A 17848-nucleotide genomic window follows, 5' to 3' on the forward strand; every position below is an offset into this window, starting at 1 on the left:
AAACAATTCATATGTATACACAGAGAGAGAAAGAAATGAGGTGTGGGGGTGTGTATGCGTAATAGACACGGAAGGATTTGCAAAGAGAAACTGTAAAAAGAGCGTGCATTGCCTCTCCTGACGGCTAGACCTGAAGACCAAATTCTCTTTCCATTCCATTTTATGTCACAGATTTGTTTATGGCAGGAAAACAAGTTTCTTTTTTTGAAGTATTTTCTGAAACATACTAGCAAAGACTCACAGATCATATGGACCAATCAGAGGTCACTATCAAGGAGAAGAAAATTAACAAGGAACATTGCTAGAAACATTTACACTGTAGCCTGTAAAACAACAATAACAATAAAACAAAAGGAAAAGAAACAAACACAAATGCAAAACCAAAGGAAAAGCAAACCAAGAAGTCAGTTTGAGCAATCCCATTCCTTCCCTCAGAAAATAAAATAATGACATCAACATCTCAACAAAAACAACAATAGTAGTGGTAGTTGTAGTAACAGCAGTAGAACGACTAATAGTTTCATAATATTCATAATAACAGAATGTAATAGTAACAGTAAATAACTTATATGTGCAGAATTTAACAATATTTTTATATATTTAAGCATATTAGTTATCTGTGGAAGAGAATCTTACCTCAAGTTATATGTCAAATACTGCCAAAATGTAAGGGCTCAGATATGTGCATAAAACTGATAACAGACCCACGAGGGTTTATGCCAAGTCATAAGTAAAGAGTTAAGAGAAGTTGAAGGTCTCTCTTCAGACTGTGGATAACATTTCTTTCTGATCTACAGCAGCCACTCATTTGGTTACTGAGTGAAAAAAAAAATGCAATGATTATTTCTGCTGAAGACATGTATTATGGAAATTAAGTATCACAAATTATTTTACATTATATATTAGTGGATAAGCCCAAGAAATAAAAAGTCTTACAAATTATCAAGTCAGATGCTTTGAGAATCATTTATATCCATACAATGAGTAGCTAGTGCTACAAGTTTTTTTTAAAACGAACAAATAATAGGGTTAAGTGGAGCATTTGGCTCTCTATTAAGAAGAGTCTGCATCATATTAGATATCTTAATCTGTCATAAATTGCTTCCTGTACCAAAGTTTCCAGAAATTTTAAACATTGGTCAGTCAAAAAATTACAAATAAAAGTAACTAGCAAATGTATTCAGCAGCTTCTTCCACATGATTTTAAAGTTAAATACATAAACCAAGAAAAAGCACACCGAGATTTTCACTTTATCACTAAATTAGAAGAAATTTTGCTAACTTCCTTATTCTCCTTCTTATGACTTAAAATTTTTTTCATGAAAAATATTGATAACACAGAACATCTAGACCTCTGTGGGGCTTGATGATTGTCAGAAATAACTTTACTCTTTGTGTCACAATTATAAACTATATGCAGACATTTCATTCCATGAGAATTTTAATCTTTTTAATTTATAAAAATATTAATAATCACTACTTTTTTGTCTTTTTTTATTTGTATAAAGTTAGGGGGTACAAATGAAGTTCTGGCACATGGATACATTATGCAGTCTTGTAGTCTGGGTCTTTTGACTAAACTATTAATAACTAATGGTGAATATTACAAATATTAGATACTGTTATACAATTGAAACTGCATCACCGTAGATATAGCAAAACAGAAAAGGATTGGAATAAACACAAAATAATACAATGCTCTAAAAGATGAGATCATTGACCCCTATTCATTTAAATTTATGTGCACAAATATTACTGTTTTGATATAAAATAATTTTCAAAAGCAATAACTAATTCACTGAACAAATAAGGATGGAAACTTGCTAGTTTCTGCATGTGCTTACCTTCCAGATGTGCTTGCTCTTCATGTTATGTTTGTTATCAGTATATGTTTATTAAATTGAGCTATAATATGCCTTAGATATAATTATATTTTAGTAGCATGAGTCATTAGCAAAACTTACATTATCATAATTTTGAATATATATATATTTCTAGACTATTATAGTAAATATATGTTTCAATGTATATATATATATACACATTTAGTCAAATATATGGATAGACACATAAAAATGCATACATTCTTACTGAAACAAAAAATCACACATACATTGTTATACTTAATCAAGAACAAGAAATTTGCTTTTTAATTTCATGTTACAAATTTTATGACTTTATAATTGACAGAGATGATCAAAAGCTGTCATCTATCCAAACAATATTTGTGATCTGAAATTAAAAAAAAAAAATCTGTAGGAATTATTCCTTCTGGAAAAGAAATATCACTTATAGTCTCAGAAGTCATTAAAAAGTTCTTGGCAATGAAGTTTAATATAAGAGTACCTTGAATAAGGACTTAATTTTAAGTAGAAAAGCTCACAAATATATTAAAAGATTATGAGGTTCTCACTGGAGCAAAATAATATGAGAATAGAAAATTTTGTTCCTCTTTATTAATAAGCTTTTTTGTAACCACCTGGCATTTGGCAGTCAGTTCTTGAAACAAATCAGTATCACTTACAGAAAACATAAACAATGGAATTTAATCAAGATTAATTGTGAGTTTGTGTTTCACTCCAGAAATACTATAATAGTCAAAAGTACGAATAAAGCTATTCCTCTCTTTTTATGGCAGTAAAATAGAAAGAGATGAATGCTTTAAGTGTAATTCTGCCTGTGGTTTCAGTAGTTTTGGACAGGAAATCAGTCGTCAATCTAGTTTAGAAACTTTTGTGCATATATATATATGTGGACAGATGATAGATAGATGCCTTTATATACATTTAAATATGTAAATGTGTTACGTAATACTTAATCTAGAATAAGAAATTTGCTAATGTTGAATAGTTTCTTCAGTTTAAAATAAAACTGACTTTTATATATGAGAACAATTAAATCATATTGAAAAATGGTGTTTGGGATTACAGATAATTTTGGAACTCAGTATATAATAGAAATTAGCTTTGTCATGAGTAAGAATATTAATAAATGTTCAAATATCTCTAAGTATCAAATTAGTTCAAGTGATTAAGATTGACGAAACTACATGCTAACCTCCAGCAGTAGGGCTGCGCTTCTGATTTGAATAACAGAATAAATGACAGTATTAGTTTCATATTACTTTGCAACAAATTACCACAAACTAGTGAATTAAAATGATAGTTATCTATTATCTTGCAGTTTCTGTAGGTCATAGAACCCATATGGTTGAGTTCTCTATTCAGAACCTCACTGTCCTGAAGTCAACATGTTGGCCAGGTCTGTGGTCTCATGTGAGCATTAGGTTCTTCTTTCATGCCCACTCAATTTGTTGGCAGAGTTGAGTTTCTTGTGGTTGTAGCAAGGAAGTACATATTTTCTTGCTGGCTGTAAGCCTAGGGTTGGTCTCAGCTACTAAAAGCCACTTTTGGGGTCTCCCTTTTCACAAGCTGTTCATAACTTAATTGTTGACATTCTTTCTGGGCAGTAGAGAGCATCTGCTGCTGCTTCCTCTTTCTTTAAAAAGTGCACGTGATCAGGTCAAGCCCACCCCAAACAATTTCCCTTTTAGTTAACTCAAGTAAATTGATTACAGACCTTAACTACTATGTAAAATGTATTTTGCCATTGTATCAGTTTGCTTGGGATGCTGTAAGAGAATCCCATAGACAGGGTAACTTAAAAAACAAATATTTATTTTTACAGTTCAAAAGGTAGAGGAGTCCAAGATTAATGGGCCAGCAAATTAGGAACTTGGTGAAGGCTATTTTTCCGGCTTCTTGCTGTAGTCTGACGTGGCAGAGAGTGAGAGAGCTCTAGCCTCCCCCTCTTCTTATAAGAACATTATTCGCACATTGGGGGCCCTGTACTCATGACCTCATCTAAACTTAATCATCCCCCAAAGCTCCACTTCCAAATATCATCACATTGGGGGTTACAGCTTCAAAATATGAATGTTGGAAGGGACACAAATATTTAGTCCATAACATCCATGCAGCAGATTATAATTATGAGAGTGATATCTCATTATATTCACAGGCACTCTCTGCATTCAAAGGAAAGGGGTATTACACTGCATATGTACATCTGGGGACAGAAATTCTGGAGGTAATTGTGGAATTAGGCATAAGAAATTAGCTTTTTACTTTGTCAATTACCAGTTAAGTCAACATCAAAGCTGAGTCAATCAAGGGATCCAAGCCAAAAATTCAAAAAGCAGAAAACAAGTAGATAAATGGAATATAGAGATAGAGAAGGGAGAAAAGAGTGAGAGAAAAAAGAGAAATAAGAAGTGGAAAGAAAGAGAAATAAATATAAAAGTGAAACAAAAAATATAATTATGATTGAGGTAATAACCAGGATAAAGGCACTGGACAGAATACTCTAGTGTGACCATCTATGTTGTAATTTTATACTTATCAACATGATTCAAAATATTTAATAGTCTGAACAAAAAGACCTATACTATTTTCTTGTTTGTTGTAATTATTGAAAAGTTTATAATCAGATATTTCCTTATTTTACTAAAAAATAACACACTGGCTCACTGTTGTTGTCAGTAATAACATCACCACCACCACAATCTTTTCCCTCTACACCTTTTTATCTTCTACCTCCTTCTCCTCCTCACCTCATTCCTCTTTTCTTTATATTCTTTCTCCTCCTCCTTATCCTCCCTCCTCTTCTTCCCTTTTCCACTTCTCCTTCCTTTCCTCTTTTTTCCTCCTTCTTTGTCCTTTTTCTTCTTGTCTGTCATTATCATCAGCAGTATATCATAATCACTCCAGATAACCTGAGAGCCATGCTTGACCCTTCTCATTCAACACCATGTTCAACTGATCAATAAGCTCTGTCAACTCTGATTGCTAAATATCGTGGATGTAAAATACTGACTTCTCATAAATACTTCTAGTTTCTTAACTAATGCTTACATTGTTTGCATTATATTTTCCATGTCTGGTCTTATACTACTAAAATCTATTCTCTAAGGCAATAAATCCACCATTTTATTTCTCCCCACTTAGAATAATATAGTTTCCCCATAGTGGAAACATCATTTAACCTTTTTTTATAACTTGGTTTTTTGTTTACCTCCTAAGTTTTGAATCTGTTTTAAACCCTGTGCTTCATATTGTTCCTGTATAGATCCTGAGTGTCACACTATTTATAATCTACTTTTATTTGTACATCCTGCTCTCCTTTCTCTTGAGTGCTTTTTGTATGGTATAGAGGGTTGAATTGTGTCCTGCAAAATGATACATTCAAGTCCTGACCCTTGCAACCTAAGAATAAACATTATTTGGAAATAAATTACTTGAAGATATAATCAAGTTAAAATGAGATTATGCTGGATTAGAACTGTTCTTAAATCCAATGACTGGTATCCCAATAGAAGAGAAGAGTAAACACACCGGGAAAAAGGCCATCTGACGATGCAGGAAGAGACTGGTGTAAAGCAGCTACAAGTTAAGGTACACCAAGGATTTTTGAGAGCCATCAGAAACTACAAAGTCGGAAGAAAGGGATATTTGCAAGAGCCCTCAGGGGCTCTTGATCCTGTTGCCACCTTGAGGACTTTGAGAGAATAAATTTCTATTGTTTTAAGTCACCAAGTTTCTGGTAATTTATTACAAAAATCCTAAGAAACTAATATATATGGATAACTTCTTTTGGTTTTCAAAACTTAATTCAGTTGTTACCTATACTGGGAAATTATCACGACTTCCTCACTCTGAATTAAATCTCTTTCTATATGCATAACCCATTCATACACTATCATATAGTATAGGAGGAGTATTTCTTTGTTTGCTTGTTTACCTACACAGGTTGCTTCATGAGCTCTTTCAGCAGGATCCTGTTTTCAACACAGTGACTGGGACTCAATAAACACGAAATAAGATGAGTTTGAGTAAATAACTAAATCCATTAAATGCCTCATACAATGCGCTTGGCACTAAGATACAGAAATACGTAGGGTAATCTCAGTAAACATCCTCCAACACCCTCTACTCTCTTCCCCAACTCAAGCAGTGACCAGATCTCATTTATTAAAAACTAAATTCTTCTTTTTCAGCTCAGAGTAATGTTTCTATATAGTCATTTTGAACTTTCAAGATTATTTTTAACTCCATTCATGGTATCTTAAAGAAACAAAATTCCTAGTTTTGTTTCTTTAGTTAACTATTTAACCGTAACATTTGCCTTGAAATGGTTCCATCACTTCCACCATTCAGGCTATGACATGAAACTGTTCTCTAGAGCAGCTGCATCATGGAGTAATGCCTAAGCCATTTGAAATTTTGAGTAATTCAAGGGAACCCTGTTGGTCTGGCCTGGTGCAAGTTTATTGACTCTTAATTGCGTTGGGTGAGGGGAGAGGGAAGAAGAGAAGTGAGACTCAAGAGGCAATTCTCGGGTTCTCTCAGGAACTGCAATATAGATTCCATTTATTCATTTTGGCAGTTATAAACATAAGTATCTAAAAGGATTTGGGGAAGAAAGAGTTATTTGTTGCCTAATTCCAAAGCACTAGAGAAAGCATGTTTTACTTTCACTTTGTCAAAGTACTTATAAAAGTTACATTAAAAAATAACTTTGAGTAGCCCACATATCCTCACATAAAGCCTGACTGTGTAAGTGAGCCATAGTATGGGATTAATGCCTGAAAACTATTTTTTTTTTTTTGAGACGGACTCTTGCTCTGTTGCCCAGGCTGGAGTGCAGTGGCACGATCTCGGCACACTGCAACCTCCACCTCCCAGGTTCCAGCAATTCTCCTGCCTCAGCCTCCAGAGTAGTTGGCATTACAGGCAGCTTTTGAACTTCTGACCTCATGATCTAACTGCCTCTGCCTCCCAAGGTGCTGGGATTACAGGTGTGAGCCACTGCGCCAGGCCAGATGACTGAAAACTCTTAAAGAGCCCTCAAGATGATTCAAGTCCTTTATCTAGAAGTATTTACAAAAAAAAGATGAAGTTTATTTGCAGTAACTTTAGGTGGCAATATAATACTTAGGGGCATTTTGGGGTTTGGGGAAGCTATCAGAGAGGCCAATTATTAGAAACAAAAGAGATGACAGTGAGTAGGTAAGTGGAATCTAAGACCAAGATTCTCTCATTTTAGAGATAAGACCAAGACCACCATCACACGCATAAGAGGTCATATGTGAAATGGTTTTTGATACCCTTACTCTATGTTAATACTTGTTACCAAAATAAAACCATAGCAATAATAAGACTCAGAGAAACATATTTTATCTTTTTGAAACTATGAATCAACTTCATCTAACTAATGGTCACTTTTGTGCGTGTGTGAACTATTTTTTGGCTAGATGTAACATACTCAGTTTAATTTAGCATTTGTACAGATTTCTCATCTTCACTGACACTGTAAAGTGAGCATGGGGTGGGGAAACCTAATGATACTCATTTGAAAAAGAGATGGGGATGAATTCTCTTTCAACTAAGATGTAAGATTCAGGTTTTCTCCAAGATTGTGTAAGATGGTAGATCAAAGAAGTGATTTAGTAAATATTGCTGTAATATTTCATAGTGGTCTAAAACTTTGAATTTGAAATAGAAATCAAGTTCATTACATCCTTTTATAGTAATAATGTATCATTTTAATAGTAAAGTTCCTAGACACCTGTCAGACCAAACAACGGTAATTTCAGTGCTTCATGCCAATTGTATTAATCGATATAATTATACTTTTCTGACTATTCTTGAGTATAAATGCAAAAAGAATGAGGAAAGAATTGTCGTAATAGTGATGGGGAAATATTTATGTCACCTCCAATATGTAATAAGTACATGAGTACCTGTTTATTTATAATATACATTTTGCATTAATATGGTACAAGGAAGCACCACTAATATAAGAAAGACCTACTGAAATATCTTTAAAAAAAAACAGAAATACTAACCAAATGCATTTTCATATATTAAAAGTGCATGTCTGAGAGAAGATTCTGGAAAGATGGAGTAGAAAGAAACAGGAGTCTGTCTGCCTATCTAGACAACAATTGAACTGGCAGATTCAATTGATACGATATATGGCTATTGATATATGACTATTCTGGAACTTTGGAATCTATTGAAAAATTGTAACTTCTGGAGGAACCTTGGATGGTAAATTAAGTTAATTTTGGTCAGTTTCAACCCCTGGCATAGTAGCAGCTACCCATTCTCCACCCAAGCCCTGTGGCAGGTAGTTGTACACAGGTTCCTGAAACAGCTTGCATGTAGTTTGCAGGGTCAGGGTGGCAAAAAATGATGCTATTCTCCAAAGATTGGGTATTTGTCTCTGTTCACTGATTGTTGCTTCGGATCACTGAAGTTCACACAAAGAGGCAGATGATCATTATTTTTACACTTCCTCCTCTGGCTGAAGTGAGTTCCAAGGGATTTAAGGGTTTGACACTCTTTTTCTCCCTTAATCTTTCTCTTTTTTCAATTTTGGGAGCCAGACATTAAAGACTAGGACATTCAAAAGTGACTGCATATGAAGAAAAAATAGGAAGTTAATAAAAATGCCCAAAGAAAGGCATAGGATCAGAGACAACCTGAGAAGACCTTAAATACACACTTTAGGCTGATTCCTGGGACAAAGGCAGCCTACAAGCAATCAAAACAAAAGGCAATTAAAAACAAATAGCAACCAAGCAAAAACAATAAATGCAGGAAAGTGGGGGCAGAATCTGATTTCTAGAGTTGCCACATTGTTAGATTTAAATGTCCACTTTTTGATCATAAATCACAGTGCACACAAAGACACAGGAAAGTATGTCTCATTAAAATAAATAAATATACATAAATAAACAGGAACTGTTCCTGAAAAAGATCCGATGGCAGATCTACTAGACAAAGGTTTTAAAACAATTATCTTAATGAGTAATGATGCTCAAATATCTAAAGAAAAATATGGATAAAGTCAAGAAAATGATGTATAAACAAAATAAAGATATCAACAAAGAGAGAGAATCTAAAAAGAAACTGAAAACAAATTCTGAATCTGAAAAGTACAATATCTGAAATGAAATATTTACTAGCTAGATCAAAGTGTACATTTGAACAAATACAGAATTGGTAAACTAGGATATGGGAGAATGATAATTACTGAGTCTGAAGAATGGAAAGAAAAAAGATTGAAGAAAAGTGAGCAGAGCCTCAGAGACCTGTAAGACACCATCAAGCAGATCAACATACACACTGTGTGAATTCCAAAAGGAAAAGAGAGAGAAAAAAGGGTGGGAGAGTATATGAAAAAATAATGTTTGAAAATTTCCCAAATTTGACAAAAGACATCAAACATCCAAAAAGCTCAATGAACTCCAGGAAAAATGAACTCCACACCAAGACATTGTAATCAAATATTTGAAAGCCAAAGACCAAAAAAGAGTATTGAAAGTAGAAAAAAATAAAAAAGCAACTGATCACGTACAAGGCAGTCTTAGTAAGATCATTATCAGATTTCTCATCAGAAACTTCAGAGGCCAGAAGATAGCAGGCTAATAAATTTAAACTGCTGAAAGAGAAAAATAAAACCTGTTAAGTTAGAATTCTATATCTGTCCTTCAAAAGTAAGGGAGAAATTAAGGCATTTCCAGATAAACAAAATCAGAGGGAGTTCATTACCTGTAAACCTGCCGGGAATACATTCAGGATGAAATGAAAAGACACTAGGTTGTACCTTGAAAAAAAAAAAAAAAAAAGATTTCAGTAAAGGTAAATACATGAGTGATTATAAAAGCTAGTATTATTGTAATAATAATTTGTAACTCTACTTTTTTCTTTCTACATGATTTAAGAGACTAATAGATTAAAAATTATTTGTCTAAAAGCTATTAAAATTTAACTTTGATTTTTAACTCCACATTTGGTTTTCTACAAAATTTAAGAAACAAAAGTATATAAAAGAGTTATTAATTTATGCTTTCATACACACAATGTGTGAATATATAACCTTATGACATCAACAACAGAAGGGTGGTAATGAGGCTGTAAAGGGGCAGAGTATTCATATGCTACTGATGTTAAGTTGGTATAAATTCAGATTAGAGTGTTATAATATTAGGATGCTAAATGTAACCCTCATGGCTACCACAAAGAAATTTACTATATGATATACACAAGAGAAGATAAAAAGAAATTTAAACATTTCACTACAAAAAAATTCAACAAAACACAAAGATAGTAACGCAAGAAATGAAAAACAAAAAAGCCATAAGATATACAAAAAATAGCAAAATGACAGAGGTAAGTCTCTCATTATCAATAATTATTTTAACTGTAAATTGATTAACCTCTTCCTTTGAAATACAGAGATTGGCAGAATCGGTAAAAACACATAATCCAACTATATTCTGTCTATAGGAGACTTATTTTAGATATACATGCAATGGAATATTATTCAGTCTTACAAAGAAAAGAAATTCCGATGTATGCTACAATGTGGATAAACTTTGAGGAAAATATGCTCTGTGAAATAAGTTAGTCACAACACACACAAATACTGCATGATTACACTATGTGCAGGACTTAGAATAGCAAAATCACAAACACAGAGATTTGAAGGATGGCAACCAGGGGCTGAAAGGAGGGGAATTAGGGAAGTTTATCTTTAAAGATGAAGTTTTAGAAGATGAAAAGAGTTATGGAGATGGATGGTGGTGATGGTTACACATTATAAATATACACTTAAAAATAATTAACATGTATAGTATATGATACACACACTTGATGACAATGCTTTTTTTTGGAAAAAAAATTCATGTCCAAACATCTTCACATCTCTCACACGCCTTCCCTAGCATTGATATATTCAAAGTAGTTTCTAAATTGGTTATTTTCAGAATTAATGCAGAATGAAATTTTAATAATAAACTTACAATATATACCTGATATTTATCTTCTTAATTTGCATCATGTGTTATTTGTGGAATGAGAGACAGGACAGTCTTGGATTTATTCTGCCTGATGCAGAGACCATGCTCATCAAGTCACTGTATCAAATGCTGTACTAAAATTTCTTGTCATGTTGTTAGTTACTGTAGTTTGCTGCTATTCTATTTTGTCATGCCTGGTTTCTGAAGCATTTGGTGATTCACCCAAATATTTTATTTAGTCACAATTGCCTACATCCTTGACACTTGACAGATCTCTGATAGCCCCATTTTTACCACGAAATGTCATTTATCTTGCATATCAATAGCTCCATTGACTCCTCTATATTACTGTGGCAGATATGGGGTAGACATTGCCCAGGTTCCTTTGTCCATTACACACAAAGTCAACATGTTAATCGTACTACTTATCTAATGGAATGCAAAAATAATTTAATATCTATTGAATCAGAATAAATAAAAATAAACTTTTTTCAAGAACAGTAAAAATATATTTTTCTGTTACAAAAGTTAAAATTAACAAACATCTTTTGACAGAAAAGCAGCTGATAGGTTGGAAATAGACTGGAAAATAAGAATGGCTGTTTTAACATCCTGGATGAGAGATTAGATTAAAAAGTAAAAACCAACTGACTATCTTTGTTTATAGGGACCTGCAGATGAATGAATGAGAACACTGAAAAGAAAGAATAGAGGAAATAATGTGTGTTTTCTAAAGAGAAACACAACGGTGCTGTGAAAGACAATGAACAAAATAAGAAATGTATACAATGTATAATTATGGACACTGTATAATTAGGAGGCTTCAAAATTACTTTCAATGAATATCTGCCAATTAAACGTCTGTAAGGCATGAGTTCCTTTATATTGAGGTATGTATGTGAAATGACTTGTGTTACCTTTTGCAACAATTTTGTCAATAGTGAAATACTGTCATCACCTACTTTCCAAATTATTATTTTAAGCACTTATATCTTGACATATTTTAATTAAAATAAAGTATTTCTTTAAAACTCCTTCATCAAAATTAATTCCTTGACATTATTTTAGCTATATCTAAAGAGTATCAAAGACTACTTCAAAAATATTTGAGTTTTATATTTTTTTATAAAAATAAATTTTATAGAAGACAAATTTAAGAGTCTTTTAAATACTTTATTATATTTACATACATCCACAAAAAATGAGGAGTCTATTAATGTATTTGTACTATATCTTAAAATTTGAATGTCTAAAGTATGTACACTTTTGGCTTTCTTCATTCAGTTACTTGAAATAAATGTTCATAAGCAAATATTCATATTTACAAATGCATTCTCTAAATAATAACATTATAACTATATGAAATTGTCTCAGTTAAATAAAGGTTTTGTTTTCTTTAAGGGAACAAATTTGTACTCCTTATTTTTAAAAACTGAAGATTACTTTCAATCTTAAAATTATCACTTTTTTCATCATTATACAATTTATTTGAATTTAATTTCAATGAATATTTTAGGGTGTCTTTTGGTTATAGCTTCATTATGTATACATGTATATTAATCAGAAAAACAGGATCACTAACAAGTGATCTGTGAATGGGATTATGGGATTTAATTTAGGAGACAGGGTAGCAGGGTGGAAAGACCTGTTAGAGTGTCCATGAAGAAATCATTTTCTTCCAAAGTAAAAATATAATATTTGAATCTAGAACATGCCCGACTATTTCAAAAACATCTTAGCAAGTTGTTACTACTTCCCTCATCCTGAAAGGCAGTACTATGTTTATTGGTTAAGAATTTAGACTGCAAGTCAGCCTGCCAGGCTTGAAATCAAGCTCCACCATTTACTAGGTGGGTACATTAGAGCAAATTACTTAACAAGCCATATCTAATTTTTCCTAAGCGTACAAGGAGGACATTAACAGTGCCTACTTTATGAGGCTGCAATACTAAGTAAATTACTTCATCATACAACATTTAGAACAGCACACTATCTAAAACAATAAATGCTAAAAAGTAACCCATTAACGATTAGATTATTAATTCTGCTAGGTCTAACCTTGATGTACTTTACCTGGCTTCAACTTCTAAGCAATTTATAATTTAAATTGCAGTTTACTTTGCCCCTCATTTCATAACTTCCTTCTTAAAACAGAAAAAAAAAAAAGTGCCCTTTTCAACATAGGAAGTGCACCGAAAGAGAACCTGTAAAGCACATACCCACACGTGTTTTCTTTTAGGTACCAATTTATCTCCAGTTTTACATTTTCCTACTACAGTTTAAACTAATCTTAGCCTAGAAAATCACTTTCTCACTCATTTCAAATTGCAGAAACAGGTAGAAAGATCTTCTTATCAAACTAATCTGCTTTAAATAGGGTACCTTAAGTCTAACATGATGTGTTTCGTAGAAGTTATTCGACCTGAAAGAGAAAAGCATTGTATCTCAAAATCCTGTTCAGTTTCTCACAAGTATCTTAATATTCCAAGTACATTGTATTATTGTGCAGGCATTCACTCATTCGCTCCCTGTCCAACCACTCACTGCCAAGTGGTTTGTGCTTTCAGTAAATTAATTTCTCTTCCCTATCCTACTGAAAATGTCTGGCCAGGCGCAGTGGTTCACGCCTGTAATCCCAGCACTTTGGGAGGCCGAGGCGGGCGGATCACGAGGTCAGGAGATGGAGACCATGCTGGCTAACATGGTGAAATCCCGTCTCTACTAAAAATACAAAAAACTAGCTGGGCGTGGTGGCGGGCGCCTGTAGTCCCAGCTACTCGGGAGGCTGAGGCGGGAGAATGGCGTGAACCCGGGAGGCGGAGCTTGCAGTGAGCCGAGATTGCACCACTGCACTCCAGCCTGGGTAACAGAGCGAGACTCTGACTCCGGGGGAAAAAAAAAGAAAAGGAAAGATAGAGAAAGAAAGAAAGACAGAAAGAGAGAAAGAGAGAAAGAGAGAGAGGGAGGGAGGGAGAGAGAGAGAGAAAGAAAGAAGGAAGGAAAGGAAGAGAAAGAAAATGTCTCAGCCTTATGACTTGCTTTAACCAATGAAATTTGAGCCATTATGTTATATGCCATAGTTGTGTTATATGTAACATCAGAGTAGAATGTGTAAGTGGAATTGCATGATTCAACTCACCCTCTTTTCCTTTTCCCCTTTGCCACATAAAGAACATATTTCTCTTAGGGATTTAGCCTCCAGGTAAAGAAATTAGCTGGAGATATATAAAGGATTGGCAGATAGAAACAATCTGAAACAATTTCGCTTAAACTGAGACATAGCTCTTCTTTGGTCATCCATCTGCATGTAAGATAAAAATATTATTGTAAGCCACTTAAATTTTGGAGTTATTTACTATGTAGCAAAGATAAGACTTAAATGATGTAACTTCTAGGTATAAGACAGAGCAATTATGTAGTTATTTTGCTATTGGGCTTCCAATAACTCAGTCCTATATAGAGAGGCCCCTACTGTTATTCACCCTGCCTTTACTCAGCTTAATTTAAATTATAAAGATGGTGATTTTTATTAGTACTGGTTTTTTTTAGTCGCAAGTGACAGAAAATCTAAGCCAAAAGTGCTTTGAAAAAGAGTGGGTGAAATTTAATGGTACACATAACTCAAAAGAAATAAAATTTGAGATTCAAGTAATTTCCCCGTGACAAATCCTTCTCCAACTCTACTCTGCTCTGGATTCATTGTCAAGGTCTGTGTGGTGTCATGGTAGCTGCCAACTACTCTTGGCATACATCCTCAGAGGCACAATTACATTGATAATAATTAACCTTTGAGTGCTTACAATGTGCCAGACACTCTTCTAAGGCATTTGCATGAATTAGCTCATTTCATCCTCAAAATGAATATATCAAATAGAAACTAATATTATCCTAATTTTATAGTTAAAAAAACAGATGGACAAAAAAATAAGATGCCTCATAATAACATATATATCTATAGATCCATGTGTATATATGTATATATGTGTGTATATACATACACGACTTGTGTATGTGTGTGTGTATATATATCTAACACACACTCGACTTCTTATGGAATCTAACAGAAACAGTGATAGCAAGAATATTGCAAATAACCGTATTTGCAATAATCTAACAGAAACAGTAATAGCAAGAATATTGCAAATAACTCTATTAATCATAGTCTACTAGAAAATATATTGTTGCAAAAGTGTTCAAACAAAATATACTTTCCAGCCACAAAATATTTGTTATGGTTTTAAAATCATAACAACAAATTAAAGAACAAATAAAACCATACTGAGATGGCCTGCATGAAAAAAAATAATGTTTTATTACATAGGCAAAAATATCTAGGACACAGACCTTGGATACACTGCATATACCTTCTAGTACGATGATACAGGCTATGCAGTTGAGGGTAAGTACTTAAAATTGCTACAAATTATTCCTTTAGAATGTTAGGTGTAGGATAAAAACTAAAATTTTTCTATAAATTCTATCTGTAGCAACATGAGTTTTCTATAACATATTAAAGGAACACAGAATAAATCAAAAGTTGAAGAAACATAAATTATTTTTTACTTTAGCCAACTTATATACTTTTATTGCATAACTTGTAATTTTTGTTTATGTAAAGAAGAGCATTGGCCCTATGATTTTTTAAGCTTTGTATAAGAACTTGATGGTAACATTAAAAAGTAGCAAATCAAATATAATATAAAAGCAGACCTACTCAGTAACTTTCAGCTTATTGGGCTTTTGTACTAATATATTTGTTAATATTTAATAAATATAAGATGTTTTTGTACCTGTGGAAACCCCTTAGCTGCTCTTTGCTAAATACACAGGTGCCTTGGTGTTTCTCAAAGCACACATTGCTTCAGGACTTTTGAATTCCTTTCCACCTGCCAGCAGCATTCTTCTAAAATATTCCTCCATAATTCAAGTTTATGCTCAAATTTTACTTTAGAGAAAATGGGCTATATGGGTTTTTATAAAAACCCATGTAAAAAACATTGCTTTTCACACTAGTTATTCTTCTATGTCCCGTATTTATTTTTCTTCATAGCATTTATTACACACAACATGGTACCTCTTTGAAGTAGAAGCTCATGAGGGCAGGAATGTTACTTTGTCTATTTCTACATCCACTGTGTCTAGAACAGGGTCTAGTACATGGTAGGCATTTCACATATTTCTGTAATGAATGGTAATATAAGTAGAAATCATGATACTATTTAGTAAACCTCATGTACCAAGTGTTACTCAACACGAATAAACTCTAGGCAAAAGATGTTATTTTGGATTATATTAATAATTTCAGGACATACTTCTTACATATTGGTAAGTATTGTACCTTTGTGTGTCAGGGGGATGTTGAAGTTCAAATTTTACTTTTAAGATCTGGGAGAATGTTTAGTAAATTAATTGCTGATGATTTTAATGTACATAATATTAAAATAATCATGTTTATAATAGTTCAACAATAATTTCATAACAATTCACCTATTTTGTGAATGTTTAAGATAAGACTAGCTAACAATTATTAATACAAGTATGTACACACTTAAAATTTACACTTTACAACAATTCTATCAGTTAATAGCATTATTCTCATTTTTCCCCTTTGGAACACTGAGGCACAGAGAAGATTTTCAAATGCCCAAGACATGAGAGTACAGGTTTGAAATTTGGAAATGGAATCCATCCACACTAACAATAGTATTACTTTTCTTTTCTTTTTTTTTTTTCCTTTTTTGAGACGGAGTCTCGCTCTGTCTCCCAGGCTGGAGTGCAGTGGCGCGATCTCGGCTCACTGCAAGCTCCGCCTCCCGGGTTCACGCCATTCTCCTGCCTCAGCCTCCTGAGTAGCTGGGACTACAGGCGCCCGCCGCCACGCCCGGCTAATTTTTTTTTTTTTTTTTGTATTTTTAGTAGAGACGGGGTTTCACCGTGTTAGCCAGGATGGTCTCGATCTCCTGACCTCGTGATCCACCAGCCTCAGCCTCCCAAAGTGCTGGGATTACAGGCGTGAACCACCACGCCCGGCAATTAGGTGAAATTAAAGAAGATGAGGCAGTGAAATTGAGCACTTGTATTTCAAAAGTGTAGACCGCTTATTAAATTATATTGAATCATTATTCTATAATGTTTGGGAACTTATTGTTTATTTCCAGAGTAGAATTCAATTACTTTAACAGTAGATCATAGTGGGCTCTAGAGAATTAACAGTCTAATTAGTTATTTAAAAGGTTAGAATTAAACTTTCTTAAGTTCTTTAAGCATTTTATAATCATTAACATTTTCATAGTACTCCCATAATCATAGCACATGTAACTGGGTCTCATTTCAAAGTGACCAATTAAAAGAATTGGAAAAACAACTAACCCTGGTTTCCATGTTAATAATTGAATGTAGGGTGGATATGGGTATATGTGTCTATTATGCCTTTGTGGTATGATTATTTGTTAATATTGTCTGTAAGTAGGCTTCAGAAGTGTCCTGACATTGTAACTACAAGACAAATCATCCATAAATATAGGAAAGCATATCTTTAATAGAAGTCTGTAATTTTATCAGACTTTCTTTTTGAAATATATGTCACAAGAAGCACTGAGAATCACTGCTTTAAAAAAGCCACTGCTTGTGGCTTAAAATTTTGTGTATTTCTCATTACTCATATGACAGTTTGCATTACCAAGTATTAGTAATTCAGTTGTTTAGTTGGTTGGATATACAACAAATCATTTCTATCATCTGAATAATTTTGTTGAAAACTAGGCATCGTAGTAATTTTCTGTTTTCTGTTAGACTAATAGCGGGGCTTCCAGAACTGAGAAAACAATTTTCAGGAGGGACATGAAAAATCCATTCAGTCATAAAAAAAAGTAACAACTATATATTTACAATTTATTCTATGATAAAGGCATATATTTGCACATTTATACCTGTATCGTGCTTATGAGAATCTGAACCTCTCAGAAATAAGGCAGTTTCCAA

This window comes from Homo sapiens, chromosome 21 (assembly GCF_000001405.40).
Source record: "Homo sapiens chromosome 21, GRCh38.p14 Primary Assembly".
Lineage (NCBI taxonomy): Eukaryota > Metazoa > Chordata > Mammalia > Primates > Hominidae > Homo > Homo sapiens.